A 27,647-nucleotide genomic window follows, 5' to 3' on the forward strand; every position below is an offset into this window, starting at 1 on the left:
AGGCTGGAGTGCAGTGGTGTGATCTCGGCTTACTGCAACCTCCGCCTCCCGGGTTCAAGCAATTCCCCCGTCTCAGCCTCCCGAGTAGCTAGGACTACAGGTGCGCATGCCACCATGCCTGGCTAATTTTTGTATTTTTAGTAGAGACGGGGTTTCACCATATTGGTCAGGCTGGTCTTGAACTCCTGACCTCAGGTGATCCACCCACCTCGGCCTCCCAAACTGCTGGGATTACAGGTGTGAGCCACCGCGCCCAGCCATAATGTTATATTTCTTTCTTTCTTTCTTTTTTTTTGAGGCAGAGTCTTGCTCTGTCTCCCAGGCTGGAGTGCAGTGGCCCAATCTTGGCTCACTACAACCTCCGCCTCCTGGGTTCAAGTGATTCTCCTGCCTCAGCCTCCTGAGTAGCTGGGACTACTGGTGTCTACCACCACACCCTGCTAATTTTTGTATTTTTAGTAGAGACAGGGTTTCACCATATTGGCCAGGCTGGTCTGGAACTCCTGACCTTGTGATCTGCCTCGGCCCCACAAAGTGCTGGGATTACAGGTGTGAGCCACTGCGCCCGGCCCATAATGTTATATTTCTAATAACCTCCATCCTGTTTTTATTTTTTTGCTATTGTTAAGTACAACATATCTGTATGTAAACTTTCCATATCTTGTAAACCACACAATGTATTCTTATTTTTATTTTAGTCAGTTTTCCTTTAAAGAAGTTAAGTAAACAAGTAAATTTTAAACAATGTGTTTACTGTTTTTGGTACTCTTAATTTCTTCCTATAGATCTGTTACTAATTGGTATTGCATTTCCTTTATCCTGAAGTACTTCCTTTTACATTTCTTGTAGTGCAGGTCTACTGGCAACAAATTCTATCAGATTTTACTTATTTGTAAATATTTTTATTTTTATTTTCTTCTTGAAGGGATATGTTTTCTAAAATTCTAGTTGACTTTTTTTTTCTTCAGCATTTTAAAGATTTCCCATTGCTTTTTGGCTTCCATTGTTTCTTTCTTTTCTTTTCTTTTTTTTTTTTTTTTGAGACAGAGTCTCGCTCCGTCCCCCGGGCTGGAGTGCAGTGGCACAATCTCAGCTCACTGCAAGCTCTGCCTCCCAGGTTCATGCCATTCTCCTGCCTCAGCCTCCCGAGTAGCTGGGACTATAGGTGCCCGCCACCACGCCTGGCTAATTTTTTGTATTTTGTAGTAGAGACGGGGTTTCACCATGTTAGCCAGGATGGTCGCGATCTCCTGCCCTCGTGATCTGCCCGCCTTGGCCTCCCAAAGTGCTGGGATTACAAGCATGAGCCACCATGCCCAGCTTTCTTGTTTTTTTTTCCAGCTCTGTCACCCAGGCTGGAGAGCAGTGGCACGATCTTGGCTCACTGCAACCTCCACCTCCCAGGTTCAAGCCATTCTCATGCCTCAGCCTCCTGAGTAGCTGGGATTACAGGCACATGCCACCGTGGCCAGCTAATTTTTTTATTTTTAGTAGAGACGGGTTTTTGCCATGTTGGCCAGACTGATCTTGAACTCCTGACCTCAAGTGATTCACCCACCTCAGCCTCCCCAAGTATTGGGATTACAGACATGAGCCACTGTGCCCAGCCTGCTTCCATTGTTTCTAGTAAGATGTCAGCCATAGTTCTTATTGTTGTATGTACTGTGATATATCCCTCTCTGCCTTCCCCCTTCCCCCAGCCGCTTTTGAGATTTTCTCTTTATTTTTGGTTCTCTGCAGTTTGACATTTATGTATGTGCCTCAGCATAGTTTTCTTTTTGTTCATCTTGCTCAGGGTTTCCTTAGCTTAGTGGTGCTTTGGGTTTGTTCACCTTCAAATTGGGAAGATGTTGGTCATTATTTTTTAAAGTATTTTTTCTTCTCCATTCTCTCTCTCCTATTCTTCCGGGACTTGAATTATATATATTAGATCACTTCAAATTGTCCCACAGATCAGTGATTCTTTATACATTTTTATTTCAATCTTTCTCTCTTTTTTTCTTTCAGTTGAAACATACAACTTTTTTGATGATACACAAATGAAGCTTTTGGTGGATAAATTGAAGTCAAAACAAATAACAAAACAGTATGTCATTTATAATAGACAGGTTCACTGTCAATTCAGAGGAACCAGTAAAAAATATTTCAATCCAAGCAGCATGATTAAAATCACAAATATGTTTTCAGCACAAGAGGACTATTTATTTGATATTCATAAGATGGTTCAGCTTGAAGCAGGTGACTGTCACAGATAACATCACTCTGGGTGAGACATTATTCAAAACTAGCAGCTGAAAGGATCCCTTTATTATATGACTAAGTGGAAAAGCAGTAACTTTCAATTTTCAATGCCTCCAGCTGCAAAACCAAGAAATTTCTTGAAGTCTTTTGAGAGCACATAACCAATTAGAATTTGTTCACTAGTTTTATAACTTTCACTTTCACCGAGAGGTCATCTGATTTGCTAAGGCTCTAATTTTCTTAACACACACTCCAAATGCAATGCATACGTTTGAAAAGGGAAGCTTTATTGAATTCTCTATAGCTGAACACTTCTACTCTGAGATTGTCATAGATGATCTCAAATATAGTAAGGGCATCAATAAAAATTTCTTATTCCACATAAGAATTGTAGAGATAATTAAATATGTAGACACTTGGGTACTGAGAAGTTTTTTCTTTTTTTAGCATATCTGATTTTCAGCAAAATTCAAAATTATTTTCAAAATCTCAACCTTGATTCTTAGCCACCAAAGCCATAAAGGGTGCACCCCTGCCACTTAAACACATAGACTACGCCCATGGCTGTTACATCTTGCACTTGGCATGCTTGGTGTGACATCATCCTGGATCACATTCTCCAGAAACACCTTCAAAACCTCCTGGATCTCCTCATAGATGAGGCCAGAAATGCTCTTGACACCATCACACCAAGCAAGATGCCAGATAGGAGGCTTGCAGATAGATGCCTTGCAGGCTGTCATACGTAGGACCTTGCAGTGACACTTAGTTCCTTCCTTACCCAGTCCTTTTCCACCTTTGCCTCAGCCAGACATGACAAAACAGATGCTTTTTCTTTTTGTGGTTCAGTTTGCAAAAATTTTATGACCTGTGTTCAAATTTCACTGATCTTTTTTTCTGTGGTGCCCAATATGATGTTAAGGGTACACAATGAATTTTTCATTTCATATATTGTATTTCCCATGTCTTCACCTATTCCTTCTTTCTTTCCTTGTAAATTCCTAACTATATTTATAGTAGTTGTTTTAAAGTCATAAGTCTGCTAATTCCTCTGTCTAGGTCATCTTGTGGGTCTCCTATTGATGATTTCTTTCTCTTATGTATCAGATTTTTTTTGCATCTTCCCATGTCTCAATATTTTACCGTAAGGCAAAAATTGTGTATAAATGATAGTGGATACTGCTGTATAATATTTTGTGTTTTGTTTTCACAGAACTTTCAAATCCTTCCTTCCATTCAGGTTTATGGGATAATGGGTTGTTTGTCCAGTGCCAACTAAGATGTGAAGACTGGAATTGGGCTACAGTATTAACCCCAGCTTCCTGCATTGTTGCCACTAAGTGGTTCATCCCTTTGATACTGTCAGAATTTAACTGGAAGGAGATTAGTTGCCACATGAGTTGGTTTGGATGACTTTTGGATTCAACTACAATTAGGCTTTAGAATCAGAACACTCAAGACTGCACAAACTTTCTCTAGTTTCTAGCCTCATGCCCACTGATACTTCAGGATACCCCTTTGTCACTTTTGCAGCAAATTCTTAGAGTGGAGAGGGAATTGTTGGACTAAATAATTTATGTTTGCATTAGAGCTCTTCCAAATTCCAATTCGTCTTGCCAGCCCATGCTATTATTAAGTATTCAATGGATTTTTTTTTTTGTTCTTTGAAAAATTTCTCTATCTATAGCTAGGCCACTTCTCTACTCACCTATGCCCAGAGTAGACATTGGCCTCTATATATAAAAATGTCCACAACTCTTTACTCATATGTAAAGGGCTTGCTATACTCTGCTGTTTAGTTTATTATGCCTATTTGTATCTACTTCTCGATGGCTTTGGGGATAAGTGTGAGAGTTTTTTTGTTTTATCTGTTTTTTTTTTTCTTGTTACTCTGGAAGCAGTAGTTTCCACATTTTATTATATTTTTATTAGGTGGGATGTTCTGTAAATGTCTACTAGGTCTAGATGGTTTGTATTGCTGTTGAAGTCATCTTCTCCTTTTGTAAAAAATTTTCTGCCTAGTTGTCCTATCCATTATTGAAAGTGGGGCACTGAGGTTTCCATACATTATTGTTGGATGATCTGTCTCATCCTTCAATCCGATTTTCTTCTTTTAACTCATGTTATATGCCATCTACTGCCTCCATTGTTTCCGATTAGTCAGGTATTAATCTTATTGGGGTTCTTTGGTAAGTAATTATTTTTTTCTTGTCACTTTCAGATGGTTCTCTTTATCTTCAGATCTCAGTATTTGTGGTTTTTTTCAATAAATACATAAATTAATTATCTTTTATTTTAAATTCTGCTGTGGGGGAAAGTAAAGGATTAATTTACTCTTACCTCTTATTTTCCCCTACAGCATAATTGACAAATAAAAATTATATGTGTTTGTAGTATACAATTTGATGGTTGTACATATAAAAACTTATTGTGAAATGATTACCTCCAGTTTTAGATGGAGGATGGATACCTCCAGTTTTGTCCTTGCTCAAGATTGCTTTGACTGTTCAGGGTGTTTTGTGGTTTCATGCAAATACTAGGATTTTTTTTCTGTTTCTATAAAAAATGCTATAAAACTTTGAAAGCATTGAATCTGTAGATTGTTTTGAATAGTATAGACATTTTAACATTATCATTTCTTCCAATTCATGAATATCTTTTCATTTATTTGTGTCTTCACAAATTTCTTTCATCAATGTTTTACTCAATGGTTTACATCAATGTTTATAGTGTTTAATGTACAGGTCTTTCACATCCTTGGTTAAATTCATTCCTAAGTATTTTATTTTGATCTATTGTAAATGGGATTCTTTTCTGAATTTCTTTTTTGGATAGTTTGTTTCTCTACAGAAATGATACTTATTTTTGTATATTTAATTTGTATCCTACAGCTTTGCTAAATTCATTCATTCTGTTTTTTTGGTGGAGTTTTTAGGGTTTTCTACATATAACATCATGTTATCTGCAAAGAGACAATTTTAATTCTTCCTTTTCAATTTGGATGCCTTTTCTTTTTCTTGCCTGATTGCTCTGGCTAGGACTTCCAGTACTTAATAGAAGTGGCAAGAATGAGCATCCTTGTCTTATTTTTTATTTTAGAGAAGTTTTCACCAGTGAGTATGATATTAGCAATGGGCTTGTCTTATGTGGCCTTTATTGTGTTGAGGTATATTCCTTCTATACCTAATTTGTTGAGAATTTTTATTATTACAGGATATTGAATTTTGTCAATGGCTTTTTTTCTGCATCTATTGAGATGATCATATGATCTTTGCCTTTCATTCTGTTAATGTGGTATATCACATTTATTGATTTGCCTATGTTGAACCATCCTTGCATTCCAGGGATAAAACCCACTTGATCATGGCATATAATCTTTTTAATGTGCTGTTGGATTCAACTTGCTATTATTTTGTTGAGGAGTTTTGCATTTATGTTCATCAGGGATATTGGCCTGCAGTTTTCTTTTCTGTTAGTGTCCTTATATGGCTTTGGTATCAGGGTAATACTGGCCTTGTTTCCATTTTTAAGAAGAGTTTTGAAAGGACTGGTTAATTTTTCTTTAAATGTTTGGAAGAATTCAGTCATGAAGCCATCAGGTCCTGGGCTTTTTTTTTTTTTTTTTTTTTTTTTGATGTGAGACATTTCATTAGTTATTCAGTATCTTTATTTATTATTTGTCTTTTCAGATTTTCTCTTCATGATTCATGGTTGATAGGTTATATATTCATAGTAGTTTATTTTTTTCTAGGTTGTCCAATTTGTTGACATTTAACTGTTTATAGTTGTCTCTTATGATCCTTTGTTTTTCTGTGGTATCAATTGTAATGTCTTCTATTTATAACTTTGAATTTTTCTTTTTTTTGGTTAATTTAGCTAAAGTTTATCAATTTTTTTATATTTTTTAAACTATTTCTTTGATATTTTTTGTCATTTTTCTAGTGTCTATTTCATTTATTTCTCCTTTGATTTTTATTATTTCTTTCATTCTGCTAACTGTGGGCTTAGTTTGCTCTTCTTTTTCTAGTTCTTTGCACTGTAAAGTTAGGTTGTTTATTTGACATGTTTTTTATTCATGTAGGTGCTATCACTATAAACTCTCTTACTAAAACTGCTTTTGTTACATCCCCTACATTTTAGTATGTTGTATTTTCATTTTAATTTGTTTCAAGATTTAAAAAATTTCCTTTTTGATTTATTATTTGACCCATTGTTTAGGAGTGTGTTATTTAATTTCCACGTATTTGTAGAATTTCATTTTTCTTGTATTATTGGTTTCTAGCTTCACATCATTGTGGTTGGAAAAGATGCTTGCTATGATTTCAGTCTTCCTAAATTTGTGAAGACTTGTTTTGTGGCCTACGATATGATCTATCCTGGAGTATGTTCCTTGTGAGCTTGAAAAGAATGTGTATTCTGCTGCTGTTGAATAGATATTCTGTATATGTCTATCATGCCCATTTGGTTTATACTTGTTATTCAAGTATACTGTTTCATTATTGGTTTTTTGTCTGGACGATCTATCCATTGTTGAATGTGGGATATTGAAGTACCCTACTATTATTATATTGCTATCTATTTCTCCCTATAATTCTGTTTATATTTGTTTTATATATTTAGGTGTTCCAACGTTGGGTGCAAATATATTTATAATTATTACATCCTTTTGACGAATGTTTCTGTTTATCATTATGTAGTGACTTTCTTTGTCTCGCGTGACAATTTTTGACTTAAAATCTATCTTGTCTGATATAGGTATAACCACCACTGCTGCTCTTATTTGGTTACCACTTTGCATGGAATATGTTTTTCCATTCCTTTACTTTCAATCTGTATGTGTCCTTAAAGCTAAAGTGAGTCTCTTGTAGGCAGCATATTGTTGGGTCGCTTTTGCTTTTTGTTTTTAAATCTAGGAAGCCATTATATTTTTGATTGGAGTCCATTTATATTTAAAGTAATCACTGATAGATAAGGACTTACTATTGCTGTTTTATTAATTATTTGCTATTTTGTAGTTCCTTCATTCCTTTCTTTCTTACTATCTTCCTTTATCATTTGATAATTTTTTGTAGTGGCATGAGATGTGATTTAATTACTTTCTCTTTGTCTTTTGTGTATCTGCTACAGGTATTTTCTCTGTGGTTCCTTTGAGGCTTATATAAGATATTTTATAGTTTTATCAGTGTATTTTAATCTGATAATGACTTCAGTTCAACCACATTCAAGAACTCTACACTTTAAAATTTCCTTCCCCCCATTTTGTTACTGATGTCGCAGTTTACATCTTTTATATATTGTGTTTCATTATGTATTCATTAATATATTATTGAAACTATAGTTATTTGTAATACTTTTGTTTCTAAATGTATATACTAGAGTTAAAAGTGACTTACATACCACCATTACAGTATTAGAATATTCTGAATTTGACTATATTCTTACTTTTACAGTGAGTTTTATACTTTCATATGTTCTCACGTCATTATTTTAGCATCCTTTCATCTCAACTTGAAGAGCTACATTTAGTATTTCTTATACTGCAGGTCTAGGTTGATGAACAACCCCAGCTTTTGTTTGTCTGGCAAAGTCTTAATCTCTCCTTCATTTGTAAAGGACAGCTTTGCTGGGTATAGTCTTTTTGGTTGAAGGGGCTTTTCCTCCCTTTAGCACTTTGAATATATTATCCCACTCTCTCGGCCTGCAAGGCTTCTGTTGAGAAGTCTGCTGTTAATCTTATGGTGGCTCCTTTGTATGTGATGAGTTGCTTTTCTGTTGCTTTCCAAGTTTTGTTTTTCACTTGACAATTTGACTATAATTTGTCTTGGTGAAGATCTCTTTATATTTCATCTATTTGAGGTTCTTTGAGCTTCATGGATCTTGATGTTCATATACCTCTCCAGATTTGGGAGTTTTCTGTCATTATTTATTTAAAGTCTTCTTATCTTAAATTATTATATATACATACTAGTTGTACATATTTATGGGGTATATGTGATATTTTGATATAAGCATACAATGTAGAATGATTAAGTCAGAATAATTGGGGTATCCATCACCTCAAGCATTTATCATTTCTTTGTTTAAGGAACATTCCAATTCTACTCTTTTAGTTACTTTGAAACATACAATAAATTATTGTTAACTATTGTCACTCTACTGTGCTACCAAACATTAGATCTTATTCATTCTATTTAACTGTGTTTTTATGCCCATAAAATGATTTATAAACCATTCCCTGCTTATCCCCCTCTTTCCCACTACCCTTCCCAGCCTCCATTGGATACCCCAATTATTCTGATTGTAGATCTCCATTTCTTTAGGGTCATTACTAGTGCTTAATTTTGTCCCTTTGGTGGTGTCATGTGCCCCTGATTATTTGTGATTCTTGTGGCCTGAGTTAGTGTTTGCACATTTGAAGAAGTAGGCATCTCTTTGAGTCTTTACAGACTGGCTTCAGCAGGTAAAGCACTTTAACATTCAGCCCACCAAGAGATTCTGGGCAGATCTTATAGCGGGGTCTGTGGGTGGGCTTGCTGCTGGAGCCCTTAGTAGAGCTTTCATGATGCCTGGACCAGTGGGTGGGTGAGCCTGGTACCTCAGTCCACTGAGGCACACCTACGTATTAGATCTGCATGGGCAGGCCTGGTGCCTGAGTTTGCAGGAGGAGGTCTGGAGCCAGGGTCTATGTGTACAGGCCTGGATCCTGGGTCTGCAAGGGCAGGCCTGTTGCCTGTGTGGGGGCTGGCTTGAGACCTGGTTCCACTGGGGCCCAGCCTGGCATTGAGGTAGGCTTTGAGCCTGAGACTGTGGGTGTCAGCAAGTAGAGAGTGGGGTTGAAGCCTGGGTCCAGTGAGTCTGATCTGGAGTGTGGGGTCATGGGGGTTGGTCTGGCGCTAGGGAAAGTGCTCACCTGCAGTGCAGGGTCATGGGCTCCAGCCTATCACGAGGGTAGGCCTGGAGCTGGGACCATAGGGACTGGTCTGCCACCAGTGCTCACTGGGATGGTCCTGGTGCTAGGGTCTGCAGCAAATATGGGTGCTCATTTCCCTGTTTTTCCTCCACATCAAGGGTATCTCTTTCTAGACTGCACTGCCTGTGCTTGGGGAAGGCTGTCATGGGTAATGTAACACTGTCCTGCCCTGTTCAGTGTATCTTTTCTTAGATCTGTGCTCCACGCAGGTACTCTAATCCTTCATCTGAATTCCTAGCTGTTGTGAAGTTATTTTTATGCATGGATAGTTATTACAAATTGATGTTTCTGTGAGGGAACAAGTACTGGAAACCCCTATCCCTCCATCTTGTTGCTGTCAATCTAGGTCTCCAACATTTGTGTTTATTTTACTTAAAGTTTACTGAGCTTCTTGGATGTATTGATTAATGTTTTTCACCAAACTTGGGAAGTTTTCAGCCATTATTTCTCCTCCTTTCTCTCTCTCCTCTCCTTCTCATGCATATGTTGATGTGATTAATGATGTCTCACATTTCCACGAGGCTCTGTTTATTTTTCTTCATTTTTTTTCTCTCTGTTCTTCAGTCTACATAATCTTTATAAATATAACTACAAAATTGTTGACTCTTTCTTTTGCCTGCTGAGAGCTAATGTGTCCTCACACTCCAAAGAGAGAGCAAGCAAGCTCTTTAGTGTCTCTTCTTGTAAGAGCGCTAATTCTATCATGAAAGTTCCACCCTTGTGACCTCATCTAAACCTAATTACTTCTGAAAGATTCCATCTGTAAATACCATCGCGCTGGGGGTTAGGGCTTCAACATATGAATATTGCGGGGACACAGACATTCAATCCATAATAGCAAGTTTCAGTGGATTTCAGAAGCCCCTAAGGCAGAAAAGCAAAAGCACCTTATTTTTTGTCCACTTGACCTGTGTCTTATGTTGGACTGAAATGTAGGTCTCCTAATTTTAGTGTAGTTTTGTATATTTCTCCCTATATATCTTTAACTTTCTGATATATAAAGGTAGGTGCTGTGTTATTTGTGTCATATATATTCATAACTGATATGTGATCTTTGTGAATTGTGGCTCTTGGTATTATCAAATATTTTGTTGTCTCACTTTTTGTCCAAATTCAACATTTTCTGGTATCATTAGCACAGTCTCTGTTTTCTTACTATTTTGTTTGTCTGCCCTATACTTTTACATCTCTTGACTTTTACCAGCCATTCTGAATCACTTTGGTTTAGGTATATCTCCTAAATGCAGCATAGAGTTGGGTTTTGCTTTGTGGGTCAACCTGCAGGTCTTTTCCTTGTAATACATGGGTTTCTATTTACATGTATTGAAATGAGTGACAGGTTTGGTTCAATAGCTATTTTAATGTTATATTTACTTTGTTTTGTTTTACTTAATATGTCTCTTTAGTCTGTTTTCGTTGCTCTTTAAACATTTTGTTTTGATGTTTAGAAACATTTGAACATGTGTTCTTGCAGTCACCTTCCAGTCTTCACATGTCATTCTCACTGTGTGCATGTCTGTGTCCAGGTTTCCCCAAAGGACATTAGTCATATTGGATTAGGGACCACTCTAGCCCAGTATGGTCTCGTCTCAACTAACTATATCTGCATGACCTTATTTCCAAGTAAGGTCACATCCTGAGGTGCTGCAGGTTGGGACTTCAGCATATGAATGTTGGGGGGACACCATTCAACACGTAACTGCCTCCATCTTTATATCCATCATGGTTGCCTCAAACCCTGTCTTTTGATTCCTTAAGCTTCTAAGGCTGTGGGTTTCTACCCAAGATTTAGTAAACTCTCTGAGGAGAACTGTGGGCTGCCTGCGCTCAGGCTAAAAGCCATTAACATGGAAAGTTTACACAGTGCTATTCTTATCTTCTGCCAAGTGCCAATCCTCTCTCCCTTTCTGCTTCCTTTTGGTTGTTCTCCAGGGCCATCAAGTAGTTCGTTTTTATATTTGGAATGGAATGATGGTCATTATTTGCAAGAGAATTGGCCCAAAGCAGCTCTTCCACTATTACTGCAAGACTCTCATTTTATTTCTTCCTGGGGTTTTGTTTGCTGTTTTTTTTTTGTTTTGTTTTGTCTGTTCCTGTTCTGGGTTTTTTAATGTATCATTCTAGGTGTTTCTTTCAGATCTGCAAATGGTAAAAAATGTTACATTCAGGTTGGTAGCGTCCATCAGTTTCTTCTTCATTTTGTGAAAGGGAATTTTTATTAGTTGAGGTGTTTGATTTTTATTTTACATTCCCTTTATACAGAGACTTCATTTGGATGTTGTCTACCCTTTCCCATTCATCTGGAAATGTCCCATCTTTTTCCTGGACCAGCAATATCTGGCAAGGGTAAAGATTTTAGTTGGCAGACTATATTTCACAGTTCAAGGGCACCCTCTGCTGTTGACTTAAGAGAATTGCAGTTTCATTAATGTTACAGTTTTGGTGGGGTATTTTTTTTTTTAATTTTGTTCTAGTGGAACTTTTAATTTTCAAAAATATATTTATCTTCCTCAGATGTGAATCATGTTTTTTGTTTCTTGATCTCTGCGGTTTTTTCAAGTACGCGTATTCATTTTGTGAAAATTCAATGAGCTCTACACTTTATATGTGCGTATTATATTTCAATAAAAAGCTAAAAATAAACTTGTCAGTAATTAATGCCTAATGAATGAAACACAGAATTATATTTGATAAAATTATCTTCTACCCTCCGACTTTGTTATGCCCTACCTGTTATTTTTGTACATTTGTTACTCTAAAAATTATATTTTGTACACATGCCCAAAAGGTATGTTTTGTAAGTACACTTAAAGGTATCTTAAAATTACTTGTTTTTGAATCATTTGATACTTACCACCAGTCTTTTCAAAGTGTTTTTATCATTCATGAATTCTTTATCTTGATTCTTCTTACAGGTAGCTGAAATACAACATCATAATTTTTACTGGAAAATAGCCACAATGAAGGAACACCACAATTTCACCATGAAAACCAGCACAACCTTACACAGATGACAAACATTTCCCCTCAAAACTTGTTAAACTGTATTTGGGCTGACCAAATTAACCAGAGTTATTCTATTTATGGGGGAGCAGGAAGTAACTTGATAAAATGCTTTGAGTTTATATATCATGTCAAATAAATAGCATAATTTTAAAGGAAAAAAACTTGTTAGGCAATGTTCTCTTATTTTCTGACATCACATATTGTGACAGAATGTAAGGCCAACCTGGTTTTTACAAATTCCGTGGTCTAATTTTTTTGTTGTTGTTAGTGTATAAAAATAGCATTGACTTAAAATTTTTTAAATTTCTTTTATTTAGTTAATTAATTTATTTTGAGACAGAGTCTCGCTCTGTCACCCAGGCTGGAGTACAGTGGCACAATCTCGACGGACTGCAATCTCCGCTTCCTGGATTCAAGCGATTCTCCTTCCTCAGCCTCCCGAGTAGCTGGGACTATAGGCGTGTGCTACCACGCCTGGCTAATTTTTGTATTTTTAGTAGAGAGGGGATTTCACCATTTTGGTCAGGCTGGTCTCAAACTCCTGACCACAGGTGATCTGGCTGCCTCATCCTCCCAAAGTGCTGGGATTACAGGCCTGAGCCACCGCACTCAGCTGAGTTTTTTTTTAATGAATGTACTCCTGGTTGTTTTTTTGTTGTTGTTGAGACAGAGTCTCGCTTTGTCGCCCAGGCTGGAGTGCAGTGGCGCGATCTCGGCTCACTGCAAGCTCCGCCTCCCAGGTTTACGCCATTCTCCTGCCTCAGCCTCCTGAGTAGCTGGGACTACAGGTGCCCGCCACCACGCCCAGCTCATTTTTTGTATTTTTAGTAGAGACGGGGTTTCACCGTGTTAACCAGGGTGGTCTCGATCTCCTGACCTCGTGATCCGCCCGCCTTGGCCTCCCAAAGTGCTGAGATTACAGGCATGAGCCACTGCGCCCAGCTCCTGGTTGTTTTTTTACTCTTCTCTTGACATACTTCTCACACACTGCAGTCTGTTGCATAAAAGGAATTACATGGTTTTGAATTACAGATAAAGATGGACATTGTCTATGTGGTAAATACGTGGTAGTTTCTGGGTGTCTTTTTATATGCTTCATATGAAAAATGATCGTACGTAAAACTGTCTCTTTCAGAAGGAACATAATCTGGACCATTCAGATACACCGAAATTCAGCTGTTTTCTACATCATCTGTGTGGGTGTAGCTAAAATATGAGCTTTTAAGCTTAAAAACAACTTCTGCATGTTATTTGGAAATATTTTTTACTGAATTTCTCAACCACCCCAAAACTTAAAGGGCAAATTTAAAATATGCATTTAATGCCTTAGTATTTTAGAGTATAGCCTTCAACAAAGTCCTTTGAGCCTCACTGTAAAAAATATTGACTTTTTATTATAAGTCTTGTGTCCCATGTCCTTGCTAATTCATTATTTCTAATCGTCCATCTGTTGATTCTTTTTAATTTTCTGCTTATACAATTGTATCATTTTTGAATTATGAAACAGATATTTCCTAAATTCCATCTGCTGTTTCTGTTGGACCCCTGTTCCGTTGCTTTGCTGTGAAATAGCAAGTGCCTTCAAGGAAAAAGGCAGTAAACATGAGGTTGGCCTCACTGGTCTCAGGTATCACAGTTCCTCAAATCCTGTCTTAGTTACATGCTCTCCAAAAATTTAAAACAGTTTTTTAATGTATATGGTATATCTTTTACAGTTGTTTTCTGTAGGACATTTATAATCTTGATATAAACTATTCCATCATGGCTGGACCAAAATGCAGCCTGACTTTTTCCTTTGTTTGTAAACTTTATTTTCTGTTTACATGCTGATAGAATTTATTCTTTGCTCTTAAAATTTAATATTAACCAAGAAACATATAGGGCCTTCCATTATTTGCTTCATGGGCATCCTTTCAATATGCAGTTTCAGGTCTTTATTCAGTTTTTATTTAATATTCATCAAATATTATTCCATTTATTTTGTTCATAACTCAGTAAAAATAGCCACAATTAAAGAGCAATCCTTTGTAGTTTCATCAGTAAGACCAACATCTGCCTGCCTTTGCCATCCTTGGTTGAAGGATCTCTCCTCTGGATCAGACCCATTTCTTCCCTTGTGAATTAATCTATTAATCTCCTTTGTCTTCAGTTCACTCCTGCCTACTCAACAGCATCAGCAAATAAACACACCCAAGTATCTCCCATCTTAAGAGAAGAAAAATCTGCCCTTCCCACAGGACTCCGCCCAGGCTCCATCTCACTTTTTGTTCCCTATCAGAGTAAAACTTATGGAAATTCTCTTTCTTTCTTTTTTCTTTCTTTCTCTCTCTCTCTCTTCTTTTCTTTTCTTTTTTCTTCATTCTCCTCCATTCTCTCTTCAACTTCCTCAATCTGGCTTTCCCCTCCCTAACTCCATTAAAGCTTTTCTGGTCAAAGCTACTGATAGCCTCCATGTTAAAATACTGTCAATACTCACGTCTCACTCGACCTCTCAAAAGCACTCAAAATATGTTTTTCCTTTGGCTCTAGTGACCACACGTTTGTCTGTCTTTTCACCTATTTCCACATCTTTTTTTCTATTTAAATTCCCTGTCTAGACCGGGTGTGGTGGCTCATGCCTGTAATCCCAGCACTTTGGGAGGCCGAGGCGGGTGGATCACCTGAGGTCAGGAGTTTGAGACCAGCCTGGCCAACATGGCAAAACCCCGTTTCTACTAAAAATACAAAAATTAGCTGGGTGTGGTGGCGCATGCCTGTAGTCCCAGCTACTTGGGAGGCTGAGGCAGGAGAATCATTTAAACCTGGGAGGCAGCGGTTGCAGTGAGCCAAGATCGCGCCACTGCACTCCAGCCTGGGTGACAGAGCGAAACTCCCTCTCAAGAAAAATAAATAAATAAATAAATAAATAAATAAATTCCCTCTCTAGATGATCTAATCTGGTCCCTCGACTTAAATATCACTTATATGCTAGTGACTCCCAAATGTAGACATTTTTAGCTCTGGGCATTCCCTTGAGAAATGGGGTTGCCTCTCTAGTAGTTCATCTAACATATGCACGTGGATGTCAAATGGATTTGAAAGCTAAGACAGCAAAAATTAACTTCCTTCCCTCTCTGCAAGCCTGTTCTCATTTGCCCCCATTTCAGTAAACAGCCTCATCAAATAGTAGCTCAACTGAGAGACATAAGGGTCACCTGTGATCCCTCAATTGCCTTCTGCCAGGTGCACCTGCAAAACACATTCCCCAAATTTTACTTATTTTTTGCCTGCTACCACTGAAGTTCAAGGCACCATCATCTCTCACCAGTACCCGCTTTCTAAGTGGGCTCCATGGTTCCATGCTTGGCCTCCCCAACACATCCTCCAAGCAAGAATTACCCACCTTTAAAATGTGATCTGTATCACATCATCCTCTGAACTGAACCCACCAGTGGCTGCCTAGGAGTAAACTCCAGATTCTTCACCACAGTCTACAGTGTGTACTTGCTGTGGTCCCTGCCAACCTCTCTGATCACATGTTTTATTTTTCTCTTCTTTTCTTACTACTCTCTTCACTGGCATTCTTTTTGTCCCTCAAAATTCATTCCCACTGCAGGGTCTTAGTATTCAGCAGTTTCTTCTGTCGGAAATACTCTTTCTTCAACTCTTCCCGTGATTAACTCCTTTTTTCTTTAACCAAGTCTCATCTTAAATGTTGCCTGCCTTCCCTGAACCCACCTCTTCCTGACATTCTCCTTATCATCAGGAAAGGCAGGGTAATGCTGTGGTAACAGATTGCAGTGGCTTAAAACAACAAAGGTTTACTTCTTGCTCACTGTACATTGCAGGTTGCAGGTTGGCTGAGGACCCCAATCCATGCTGTCCTCACTGTGGGCTGAGGGAACAGCTGCTATCTGGAACAATGCCAGTCACCATGTCAGGGGAAAAGAAGGCTCTGGAGGGCGCAGCAAAGGCAACCAAATGCTTGGCTTGGAAATGACATGCATCATTTCTTTTCTTTTCTTTCTTTTTTTTTTTTGTCTCTGTCGCCCAGGCTGGAGTGCAGTGGTGCGATCTCGGCTCACTGCAACCTCCTCCTGGGCTCAAGCGATTCTCCTGCCTCAGCCTCCTGTGTAACTGGGATTATTGGTGCCCGCCACCACACCTGGCTAATTTTTGTATTTTTAGTAGAGAGGGGGTTTTGCCTTGTTGGCCAGACTGGTCTCCAACTCTTAGCCTCAAATGATCCACCTGCCTTGGCCTCCCAAAGTGCTGGGATTATAGGCATGAGCCACCGTGCCCAGCTAACACACATCACCTCTGATCGCAAGTTATTGGCCAGACTAGTTACATGGCCCTACCCAGCCACAGAGGGCCACAAGAAATAATCATATAGCTGCCCAGAAGATAACCAGCTCTAATGGCTATCACAGATTTTACACTTAAAAAAAAATTTTTTTTTGAGAAAGGGTCTCACTCTGTTGCCCAGACTGGGGTGCAGTGGCGTGATCTCGGCTCACTGCAGCTTGGAACTCCTGGGTTCAAGCAATTCTCATGTCTCAGCCTCCCAGGTAGCTGGGACTACAGGCGCATGCCACCACACCCAGCTAATTTTTGTATTTTCTGTAGAGACAGGGTTTTGCCATGGTGGTCAGGCTGGTCTTGAACTCCTGGGCTCAAGTGATCCGCCCACCTTGGCTTCCCAAAGTGTTGGGATTACAGGCGTGAACCACTGCTCTGGGGCCTCCATCACACTTCTTATATTATTCTGTTTATACAATGTTTTTCTACATGAGAGATAAATTCTATGTAACCATCATCCAGGTTAATAAATAAAATAATTCCAAGGTCTTAGAAGCCTCTCCTTAATGTGCCCTTCCCTCTGTCAAGGAGCTCACCACCATCCTAACTTTGGGGTTAATAAGAGCAATGCTTTTAGTTACAGTTTTACCACCAAAGCATGTATTTTTTTGTTCAGTTTGAGCTATTTTGGACTTATATAAGTGTCAGTATTTTAATTTGTTTCTTTGAATGAATGCAGTGTTTATAAGGTTTATCTATATAGATGAATGTAGCTATTTTTTAATGTATCTATTTTGCCAGGCATGCACCTGTAATCCCAGCTACTCAGGAGACTGAGGCGGGAGGATTGCTTGAGCCCAGGAGTTCAAGACCAGCCTAGGCAATATAGTGAGACCCACTCAATCAAGTAATCAGTCAGTTATTTTTGATAAATAATACATGTATCAATGTTAATGTTAAGGTATATTTGTGTTGTTTTCAGTTTTAGGCTTTTGGAAACAATGCTTCTGTAAATATCCTAGTACCTGTCTCATGGGTGTGAAGTTGCTGAATCGTAGGATGCATGCATGTTCGTCTCTGCTAGATCATGTGACATTGTTTTCAAAAATGATTTAAAATGCGCTCCCAACACTGTGAGTTCCAGCTGCTCCATATGTTTACCAGTGCTTGGTATTGTTGTACATTTTTTTTTTGTTTTGAGACGGAGTCTTGCTCTGTCGCCCAGGCTGGAGTGTAGTGGCGCGATCTCAGCTCACTGCAAGCTCCACCTCCCGGGTTCACGCCATTCTCCTGCCTCAACCTCCCGAGTAGCTGGGACTACAGGCATCTGCCAACTCGCCCAGCTAATTTTTTTTTTTTTGTATTTTTAGTAGAGACAGGGTTTCACCGTGTTAGCCAGGATGGTCTCAATCTCCTGACCTCGTGATCTGCCCACCTCGGCCTCCCAAAATGCTGGGATTACAGGCGTGAGCCACTGCGCCCGGCCTGTTGTACTTTTTAATTTTTGCCAATCTGGTGGGTGTATGATGGTCTCATTTTGTTGTTGCTTTGATAACTAATGAAGTTGACCACCTTTACATATGTTTTTTGTTTATTTCTTTAGTTAGGGTATTCAGTTTATACTTACTGCCCCAGCATAATTATTAAAATGGTCCCCCTTTCATTCTCTAACATGTCTTGGTTTGGACAACACATTGTACGGCACCCTAACCTTAGTGGGGTCCCTCCGCTAACATGGAAATTTCCTTCTTGCTCGTTAGTGTTTAGGATGATGTGGTCTGGCATCTCTGAGGAAAGAAAAAAAAATGGGATAAATACAGAAGATTGAGTAAAAACCAGATGAGAGGGAAACCAAACTCATTAACTGGGATTACTCAGTCTGACTCAGGATGACCATTTCCAAAATAATGTGTGATGGAGCTTTCAAATGGGTACAAAGCAGATGAGTTTGAGCAACATAATCCAGCAGTAAAAGTGAAAGAATTTGTTTACCCATTTCTCAGAAATGACTCAAGGCACGATCATTATTTGAAAGCTGGTCACAGTGTCTGCTGCAACCACTCACTCCCCTTTCAGTCTGTAACAAATCTCTTAAAAGCTGACATGTGAAACCAATAGTATGTTTCTTACCTTGAGATCATCTTGTGAAGTTTCTTACTCTATTTTTTAAAATGTGTTTGTTAGATTTTATTTTCTAAGTAATATTGATTAAAAATATTTATACACCTACTTTTAAGTCCACAGTTTAGCACTCTTATTTGTATGGCTTTAAAAGTTATAGCACAGGGTCTTTACATTAAGGACTGGGGGAAAAGATTCCATTCAAAACAAAGCCTGATAATTATAGACATGTTTTTCTCTGTACTTTATTTTAAATACATTAATTTTTAAACAATGCTCATCTTTTTTTTTATCTGGTGGTAAAATACTAGTGCAACTTTTCATCAAAAGAAAGTTGACCACAGATGTAAATGAATTTTCCCAATTGAAAATTGCCCTTCAGCTGCCACTAAATAAAATTTCTCAACCTAACTTAAGTGAAAAGAACTGGTGGTTGTCATTATAAGTAAAAATATAAAGTATCATAGCATTGTCTACATTGCTCCTTACAATACAAACTTTGAAAGAACCAGAGATGCTTTATAGGAGTTTAGTCGGTTTTGAAAAGGCACGTGTGTGTGTGTGTTTTAATATTCTAAAAATTTTCCCACCACCACTCTTTGTGTTGCAGAGACAGCATCGGTGACTACAGGGCTAGACAAGAACATTTGTTCAGACTAAAGAAAGCCAGAAGCCAAAATTCAGCTGCACAGTAACAATGTACTTTTCATCATGCAGCCTTGTGTTTCCTATATATTTGATTTTCTACTATGCATTAGAATACATAAACTTGTATTCTAATGATTTAAGTTTGATTTCACAATATGGAAAAAATTTGAGGAAGAACATGACCTGGGAAAGAGAAAAGGGAGAACTTTTACCACAATGAACATAGATACATTCGTACCCCACTATATGATAAGAATATAATCCATTTAAGTTACAGAAAAGATCTCTTCAGTTATGGGAAAGATCCCTCTGCTGTGGCATTAAGTTTGGGGAGGGGAATTGACTTGTTCCAACAGAAACAGAAACAACAGGAAATAGCTTAACTTTGGTCCACTTGTCTGTTAGCTGAACGACAGTCATACTGCCTATAATCGGTTCAGAAACCCAACAATTATATTTTAAAATATATTCATGTGTAATTTCATTCTAAAACTGGCATAGCTGTTCTGCCCTCATTCTCTGCCTTTTCAGCTTCAGAATGTGCTGTCAGCACGGTCTCTAATCCTCAGCATCTTCGTGATCTTCCCTGGCAGCCTCAGCATCTGCTTGGCTAGGCTCTGTCTTCTCTTGGGTCATGATTTCTGGGGTCATGTGGACGAAGCCTGCTTCTGGAAGTTCACTTTGTACTTCCACTGGCATCTGATTTTCCCGTTCCACATGCGGCTCCTCTCCGTGTACTTCAGTACCTTCTTCAGGCTGAATTCAGCCCACTGCTAGGTAACTCACTTGGACCTGCTCTGGAAGCTCACTCCTGTGTGTCGGGCACCTGGCTATCCCTGCGTGGTTCTGGGTGGACGTGTTCCACGATCGCTTGTGCTGAATCCACCTGGACCTGAAACAGTGGGAGCACGTGTACCTCCCAGCTTGTTCTATAATATCATTGATGTCACAGGTTCAGCTTGTACCTGTGTTTCTGCTGAAAGAACTTCTCCCATTACTAGACGCTTTGATATATTGTATCACTGAGATGCCTCCTTAATTCATTTCCTTGCATAAACCACAAGTCACATAAAGTACAATGGTTGGGTTTACCTCTAGTATGTATTACTGAGTGATATTTGAACTGGTTCTAGCTGTTAAACACACTGTTGCAGACCTGGCACTCATGAGCTTCTTTCTTCCTTTTTTTGCCCCTACTCATTTGGCATGCAGTGAGGTGACATTTGAGGGGGCTATTTCTAGCAAATTGTTCATGACAATTTGGATATTCAAAAGGTTTTTCACCTGTTCTTTAAAATGTCCAGAATGGTCACACTGTTTCTCACAGTACTGACATACATGAATTTTTCCACCAGTTCTTTGCTTTTTTTTTTTTTTTTTTGAGACGGAGTATCGCTCTGTCGCCCAGGCTGGAGTGCAGTGGCGTGATCTCGGCTCACTGCAAGCTCCGCCTCCCGGGTTCACGCCATTCTCCTGCCTCCGCCTCCCGAGTAGCTGGGACTACAGGCGCCCGCCACCACGCCTGGCTAATTTTTTGTGTTTTTAGTAGAGACGGGGTTTCACCGTGTTAGCCAGGATGGTCTCGATCTCCTGACCTCGTGATCCGCCCGTCTCAGCCTCCCAAAGTGCTGGGATTACAGGCGTGAGCCACCGCGCCCGGCCTCTTTGCTTCTTACTGCCTCCACCTTCTTCAAGGTGGTAACAATTCAGGTGCTGTTTCCATGCGCTCTCCTGAAGATACCTTTTGTTGCATATTTCACAGTTGAAACTCAGTGAAGTGTGATTTCATGTGTTCCTGTTTGCTTGTGGGGTCAGATTGCACAGCTGTCTTCCTCTTTAATCTGCCCTTTTCTGTCACCTTGGTGGTACTGAAACAGGAAAAGCTCCCTTATCCCCCTCACAGGGTGTGTGATGGGGGCGTGGCTAGCTTCTTCGGTGCTGCTGCTCAAACATCTAGGGGGGCAGGTTGTGGTCGTGGGCTCCAACCCCACGGCAGTGTCTTGGGGGAAATGTTTCCAGCTCCTGAAGCCCCAGTGGGCGTGTGTTACAGGTGCTCTTTTAATTTTGCTGTCTGTAGGCGGCTTGTGTCAATCAGCTCACTTAGACCCTCTGCCTTATCACAAGGACAGAGGGCTTTCTGTATCCCAGGGTTCTTGCCCTAGTGTGCCGGAAAAATCGGATCACATGTGGGCTTGGGGAATGAGTGCAGGGTTTTATTGAATGGTGGAAGTAGCTCTCAGCAGATGGATGGGGAGCCAAAAGAGGGATAGAGTGGGAAGGGGGTTTTCCCTTGGAGTCGGGCTGTTCAGTGGCCAGACTGTCCTCCTACCACCCCTGCCAAATTCCCCTGGGCATCCGCGTTGTTCTGCCAGTTGATGGCCTGCCAGCGTGTGCAGGTGCCTGTTCCTGTGCTCTTCCATTCCCCTGCTCCTCTCGATGCCTAGCCGCCTGTGTGCCCTTCTGCCGCTGTGTTCCTCTAGACATCCCACTGCTTGTGTCTATGCCGCTAGGGTCGGGGGGTTTTTATAGGCCCAGGATGGGGGGTGTGGTGGGCCAGGGTGGTCTTGGAAAATGCAACATTTGGGCGCGAAAACAGGAGTGCCTGTCCTCACGTAGGCCCGTGAGCACGGGCCCAAGGGGGGAGCCCTCACCAGGGACCCCGCCTTTCTCTATCCAGCATTTCCCTGCCCCACTCTGGTATCAGTACTTGCTGGTGATATCTGGCAACAGTGCTGGAGCAGAATCATCAGAGGAACCTGTGCTCTGTATGTACTTTATGGACTGCTGGGCAGAAGCCCTTCCTCGAATGTTTCCATGCCTTCATCTTCTGCTTCAGTCGTGTCTTCGGCATTCTCTACCTCAGTTTCAACAGAGTCTGACTCTGCAGATAGCAGTGACTCAGCGATAACGTGAAGTTTCTGCAATTTTACTTTTTTTGGCCTCACTTTTTCCTGTGGTATTTTCCTTTAATGAAGTTGAGTTTTGTTTTGTTTTGAGATGGAGTCTTGCTTTGTTGCCCAGACTGGAGTGCAGTGGTGCGATCTTGGCTCATTGCAACCTCCGCCTCCTGCATTCAAGCAATTCTCCTGCCTCAGCCTCCTGAGTAGCTGGGACTACAGGTGCCCCACGCCCGGCTAAATTTTGTATTTTTTAGTAGAGACAGGGTTTCGCCACGTTGGCCAGGCCGGTCTTGAACTCCTGACCTCCGGTGATCCGCCCGCCTCGGCCTCCCAGAGTGCTGGAATTACAGGCGTGAGCCACTGCACCTGGCCTGAAGTTGAGTTTTCTTTGTTCCTAACTTCAAGGGCTTTGATGGCTTCTAGCATTTGTAGATGTTCTGCTGCTTTCCATACATCGCTGGCTGCTTCTCCTTGTATCATTAATTTTGCTGTACATGTGAACTCAATTGAATGGCAAAAGGCCATTTTACTAATACCTTCTATCTCCACCAAAGGTTCTTGGGTAAACTCTGGAAAGAATTTGTAGAAGGCGGCCGGGCCCAGTGGCTCACCCCTGTAATCCCTTTGGGAAGGATTACAGTAATCTCTGTAAGCGTTTTGGGTGGCTGAGGCAGGCGGATCACCTGAGATCAGGAGTTTGGGACCAGCCTCGCCAACTTGGCAAAACCCTGTCTCCACTAAAAATACAAAAATTAGCCAGATGTGATGGCGGGTGCCTGTAGTCCCAGCTACTTGGGAGGCTGAGGCAGGAGAATCGCTTGAACCCGGGAGGTGGAGGTTGCAGTGAGCCAGGATCGGGTCACTGCACTTCAGCCTGGGTGACAAAGTGTGACTTCATCTCAAAAAAAAAAAAAAAAAAAAGAATTGTGGAACTTACTGCAAGCAGCCAAAACGGCCTTGTGAGCCTTCAGATGGTGTCCGTCCACAATCAGGGTGATGTCAGTAAAGCGGTCCTGCCCTCACTGTTCATTCAGTTGGTCGAGGATCTTGTTATGACGTTCACGGAACTCCTGTAGGTGTTGCATCGTCTCTTCAGCCTCCATGGCTGTTGGGTTGCTCTGCCTCATGCTCTGCCCTCCTTCCTCTTTGTCCCTCAGAGCCTCTGGTTTTGTGCTTTCTCCTCCCAGGGCATAATGTGCCCCACAGCTTTCCCTATCTCTAAACCGTGGCTCTCCCTCCATTTCCCCCACAAGAGCCGGGTGCTGCCTCTGCTCGGGCCCCGCTGGTGCACGTGCGCTCGGTTGGACACACAGGCGGTCTCGGCCTCTTTCTCTACTTTGAAGACTCGGCTGTAATTGTGCTATTAAACTTCTTCCATATTATACTCAAAAGCAATGCTTCATTTCCCCCCAAAAGAAGAAATCAAGTAAGTAAAAACATGTTATAATTTATATAGAAGGGTACTTTGCATTTGTTAAAATGCTTTATAATGGTTCTAATCTTCTTCCTTAAAGAAACCCTGAGAAAGCCTTTCTTTCTCAGCTGTACAGATGGAACAGGTGAGGGGAGGGGACGCAGAGGTGTTGCCCAGAGCTTCTGAGTCCGTGGCTGAGCCCAAATCTCCCAAGGCAAATATGACAAATGTTATTTTCTCCTATTTATAAAGCTCCCTTACAGCTGGAGGGATTTTCTTCTAAATCTACTAAACATTGAAGTACCTAAAAACAATAGTCCCACATTTGGAAACAGACCAAGGGTGTGAAGTTTTAGCTCTTGTTTCTAAGGTTATAACTGACGACCAGACTGGGGTTAATTATGCACCCAAATGATAGTGTTTCCTGCCAAGGACATTCTGATTCACTGCTTACCAGATCAGGTAATGCTGGTGGCTAAGCTCCTCCACCAGGCTTTTAGGGTCTCCTAAAGACCCTAAAAAAAAGGAGGTGTCTTCATTCTCACTGGCTCCAGCCAACCCTTTAGATTGCTAATAATTCAAATGTGGAGCATTCAGTAGCAAGAGGATTGTGCGCTCATTTATTCATAGCACTCCTTCCCCAAACTACGTTGGGAGACACATCAATCAGTGTGTTAGGAAGACCTGATGGCTGTGCTGTTCAATATGGCAGCCACCAGCCACATGTGGCCATTTAAATTCTAATTAAAATCAAGTAAAATGTAAAAGCCAGTTGCTCAGTTGCACTAGCAATGTTTTGAGTGCTCAGTAGTGACATATGCCTGGAGGCTACCGTATTGGGTAGTGCAGATATAAAATATTTCCATCACTCCGGAAGGTTCTATTGGACAATACTGCTTCTTAGTGTGTTATGGTGAGTAAGACTTCCCAAATGGTCTTGGTATCTTCTGCCATGCGGGCTGCTGGGCTGCCTCATATCCTTTTTTTTTGGTTTATTTGTTCATTTGTTTTTTTAAGAGACAGGGTCTGGCTCTGTCACCCGTGCTGGAGTGCAGTGGTGCAATCATAGCTCACTGCAGTCTGAAGTTCTGGAGCTCAAGTGATCTTCCCACCTCATCCTCCCAGTTAGCTGGGACTACAGGTGGGTGCCACCATGCCTAATTTTAAAAAAATTTTTGTAGAGGTGGGGTCTCATTTTATTGCCAAGGCTGGTCTTGAACTCCTGGGCTCAAGTGATTTTCCCGCTTCAGCTTCCCAAAGTGCTGGGATTACAGGCATGCACCACGGCACCCGGCCACACGTCATCTCTCACTGTTTCAAAGCCCAGCCCCTTGTTGGCACCATCCCAGGCAATGAGTCTTCCCCAGGGCCACCCTGCCCTTCGTTTTTCTCTAAATTCCCTCACCTTCATGGGAAGCCTCTTCAAAATTAGAAATTTGCAAGTATGTGTAGTTCTGTTAGCTGGGTGAAGCTCTTGATCCCTTGGGTCCCACAGCTGTCTTCTGTCAGCGAGGCTCACACGTCTGTGTCCCTGGTCACAGGTGCGAGTGGGGCACATTCCTCATCCTCTCCACCCCCGCATGCCCTGCCCTCCAGGGGCTCTGTGCCCATGGGCGTTCCCCAGGCTTGCCCACTGCTCTCATCTGTTTCTCACATCTCTGTTTCTCCTCCTGGCCAAACCCTCTACATCTACAGCCGATTGTTTGCTGATTAGAAGCTGTTTATGTACTTAGCAGAAAGAAAACTTGCCATTTCTGAAGGAAGAAATGAGGCAGCAAATGTGCAGGGGAGAACAAGATTAGGCAGGATCAAAAGGCAAAGGCAGGATGCTCACAACAAAGCTGAAAATTATAACCCTGATGGTTCATTCTCGTGGAATTCACTGGCTGCCAGCACACTATGGGTGTAACCGTAAGGCCTGTGGATGATCTCTCTGCCTTCTCCCTGGCTCTCATCTGGTAACATCCTCTCGCAGTGCTCGAGGTCATCGTTAAAACATGAGAGAGAACAACACGACGATGAACTAGTTTGCTTGGATGCAAGTATTTGACCAGTTCTTTCATCCACAAATCTGGAAATAAGTAAATGTATTTTATATTTGAAAAGTATGAGAAATATGGTCTGAAAAATTTCTCTCTCATGCTTTTAAAATATATTAAAATATTTTAAAATATTTTAAATAAAACAAGCAAGAGCACAGAGTTAGGTATATGAAACATCAGTCCTTAGTCACTGTGTTGGGGTTCTCCTGAGAAACAGAATCGGACATACATAATTATATGTGTATATATATATATATATATTTATACACATATATATGTGTACGTGTGTATATAGATATACCTATGTGTATACATGCATGTATGCAGATAGGTATGTGTATAAATATATACATATGTGTGTGTATATATAGAAATATATATATACACATATATAGAGAGATTTATTTTAAGGAACTGGCTCTTGATTGTGGGGGTTGGTAGGTTGGGGCTGGCTAGCGGGCTAGAAATTCTGGGAGGAGTTGATATTGTAGTCGAGTCTGAAGGCAGAGTTCCTTCTTCTTCAGGGACCTCAGTCATTTTTCTTAAGACCTTCAACCGACTAGATGAGACCCATCCACATTATGAAGGGAAATCTGTTTTACTCAAAGTCTACTGATTTAAATATTTCAGTATTAATCACACCTAAAATATATCTTTATAGCAACATCTAGACTGGTGTTTAACCAAAACTGAGCATCACAGCCTAGCTAAGTTGACACATCAAATTAACCCTCACTGTCACCAAACATCTAATTAACAGGATGGCTGAGTGTGTTCATTGGCTCAGGCTGCCATAACACAGTACCACAGGCTGGGTGGCTTCAACCACGGAGATTCGGAGATCAAGATGTGGCCAGGGATCGTGTCTTCCGAGCCTCTCTCCTTGGCTTGTAGATGGCCGTCTTCTCTGTGTGTTTTTAGTTGGTCTTCCTTCTGTGTGTGTCTGTGTCCTAATCTCTTTTTATAAGGACACTGATCATGTTGGATAAGGGCCTACCCTCATGATCTCACTTTAATTTACTTCCTACTTAAAGACTCCATCTCCAAGTACAGTCACATTCTGAGATTCTGAGGTTTAAAATGTCAACGTTTGAAGTGTTGGTGGTGCGGAGGACACAGTTTAGCTCATGACAGTGGGAAAACAGACAATTCCAAGGTGGTAGTGGGTATGCATTGTGCTGAGAAGGGCCGAGTTCAGTGCAGTCACTTGCAAGTTATCTTGATCTGAAAACAGATGATCAGTTTGCGTTGATAAATGGATAACTTTCCCTGTGTGCCTTAAAATTGCCTTCACATTTAAAGAATGAGTATGTATGCGCAACTGTTAGGCTGAAAAAAAAAGTTGTACTATTAAGTAGACAAACAGTTTGCTACCTTGAAATGCAGAGATAGGTATGACTCCACATGGTGTCACTGTAGATATCAGCATCCTCCTTCTCCAAAAATAATAAAGCGAAGCTGCTGGATGGGGCTGTTGGCTACTCTCTTTGGTGGAGAGGTTCACTACCTGTTGTTTTTACATTTATATTTTATTCTTTTTTTTTTGCCACAGGGTTTTGCTTTGTCACCCAGGCTGGAGTGCAGTGGTGCGATCATGGCTCACTGCAGCCTCCAACTCCTGGGCTGAAGGGATCCTCCCACCTCAGCCTCTGAGTAGCTAGGACTACAGGTACATGTCACTGCATCCAGCCATCTTATTTTTCGGGGGTGAGGGGAGCACTTTTTGGAGGTGGGTGGGAACATTCTTTCTGGCGTTTAAAATTTTTTCTTTGTGGAGACAGGTCTCACTACATTGTCTAACCCGGTCTCAAACTCCTGGCCTCATGCAGTCCTCCTGCCTTGGCCTCCAAAAGTGCTGGGATTATAGGCATGAGCCACCACGCCAGGCCTTGCTACCTGTTTTTTATTTTTTATTTTAGATTCAGGGGTGCATGGGCAGGTTTGCTACAAGGGTATCTTGTGTGATCCTGAGGTTTTGGCTTCTATAGATCCTGTCAAGCAGACAGTGAACATAGTACCCGACA

The 27,647-nt window shown here is 40.7% G+C and overlaps 2 long non-coding RNA genes and 3 pseudogenes across 6 annotated transcripts in view; 1 reads left to right on the forward strand and 4 right to left on the reverse strand.

Annotated features, from left to right (window-relative positions):
• The window catches only part of LOC105375509 (uncharacterized), a 41,820-nt gene extending 29,537 nt beyond the window's left edge, over positions 1-12,283 (reverse strand). For both annotated transcript variants that reach the window (XR_007060528.1, XR_007060529.1), the window contains exons 1-2: positions 12,213-12,283; positions 12,066-12,130 (exon numbers count right to left, since the gene is read on the reverse strand). This is a non-coding gene — a long non-coding RNA (uncharacterized LOC105375509). The remainder of the gene's footprint in view (positions 1-12,065; positions 12,131-12,212) is intronic.
• LOC105375508 (uncharacterized) overlaps positions 1-27,647 on the forward strand; it is a 119,688-nt gene that overhangs the window by 86,192 nt on the left and 5,849 nt on the right. For 2 of the 4 annotated variants that reach the window (XR_927976.3, XR_927977.3), the window contains one exon: positions 12,127-12,378. The exons of 1 other annotated variant lie outside the window; for it this stretch is intronic. This is a non-coding gene — a long non-coding RNA (uncharacterized LOC105375508). Of the gene's footprint in view, positions 1-1,548; positions 10,215-12,126; positions 12,379-27,647 lie in introns of those variants that run through there. One more of the 4 variants, XR_007060526.1, reaches the window with a different exon arrangement.
• Positions 2,004-2,742, reverse strand: LOC347674 (armadillo repeat containing X-linked 2 pseudogene; annotated as a pseudogene).
• Positions 2,750-3,056, reverse strand: H4P1 (H4 histone pseudogene 1; annotated as a pseudogene).
• LOC100133252 (zinc finger protein 131 pseudogene) lies at positions 19,454-23,476 on the reverse strand (annotated as a pseudogene).

This window comes from Homo sapiens, chromosome 7 (genome assembly GCF_000001405.40).
Source record: "Homo sapiens chromosome 7, GRCh38.p14 Primary Assembly".
NCBI lineage: Eukaryota > Metazoa > Chordata > Mammalia > Primates > Hominidae > Homo > Homo sapiens.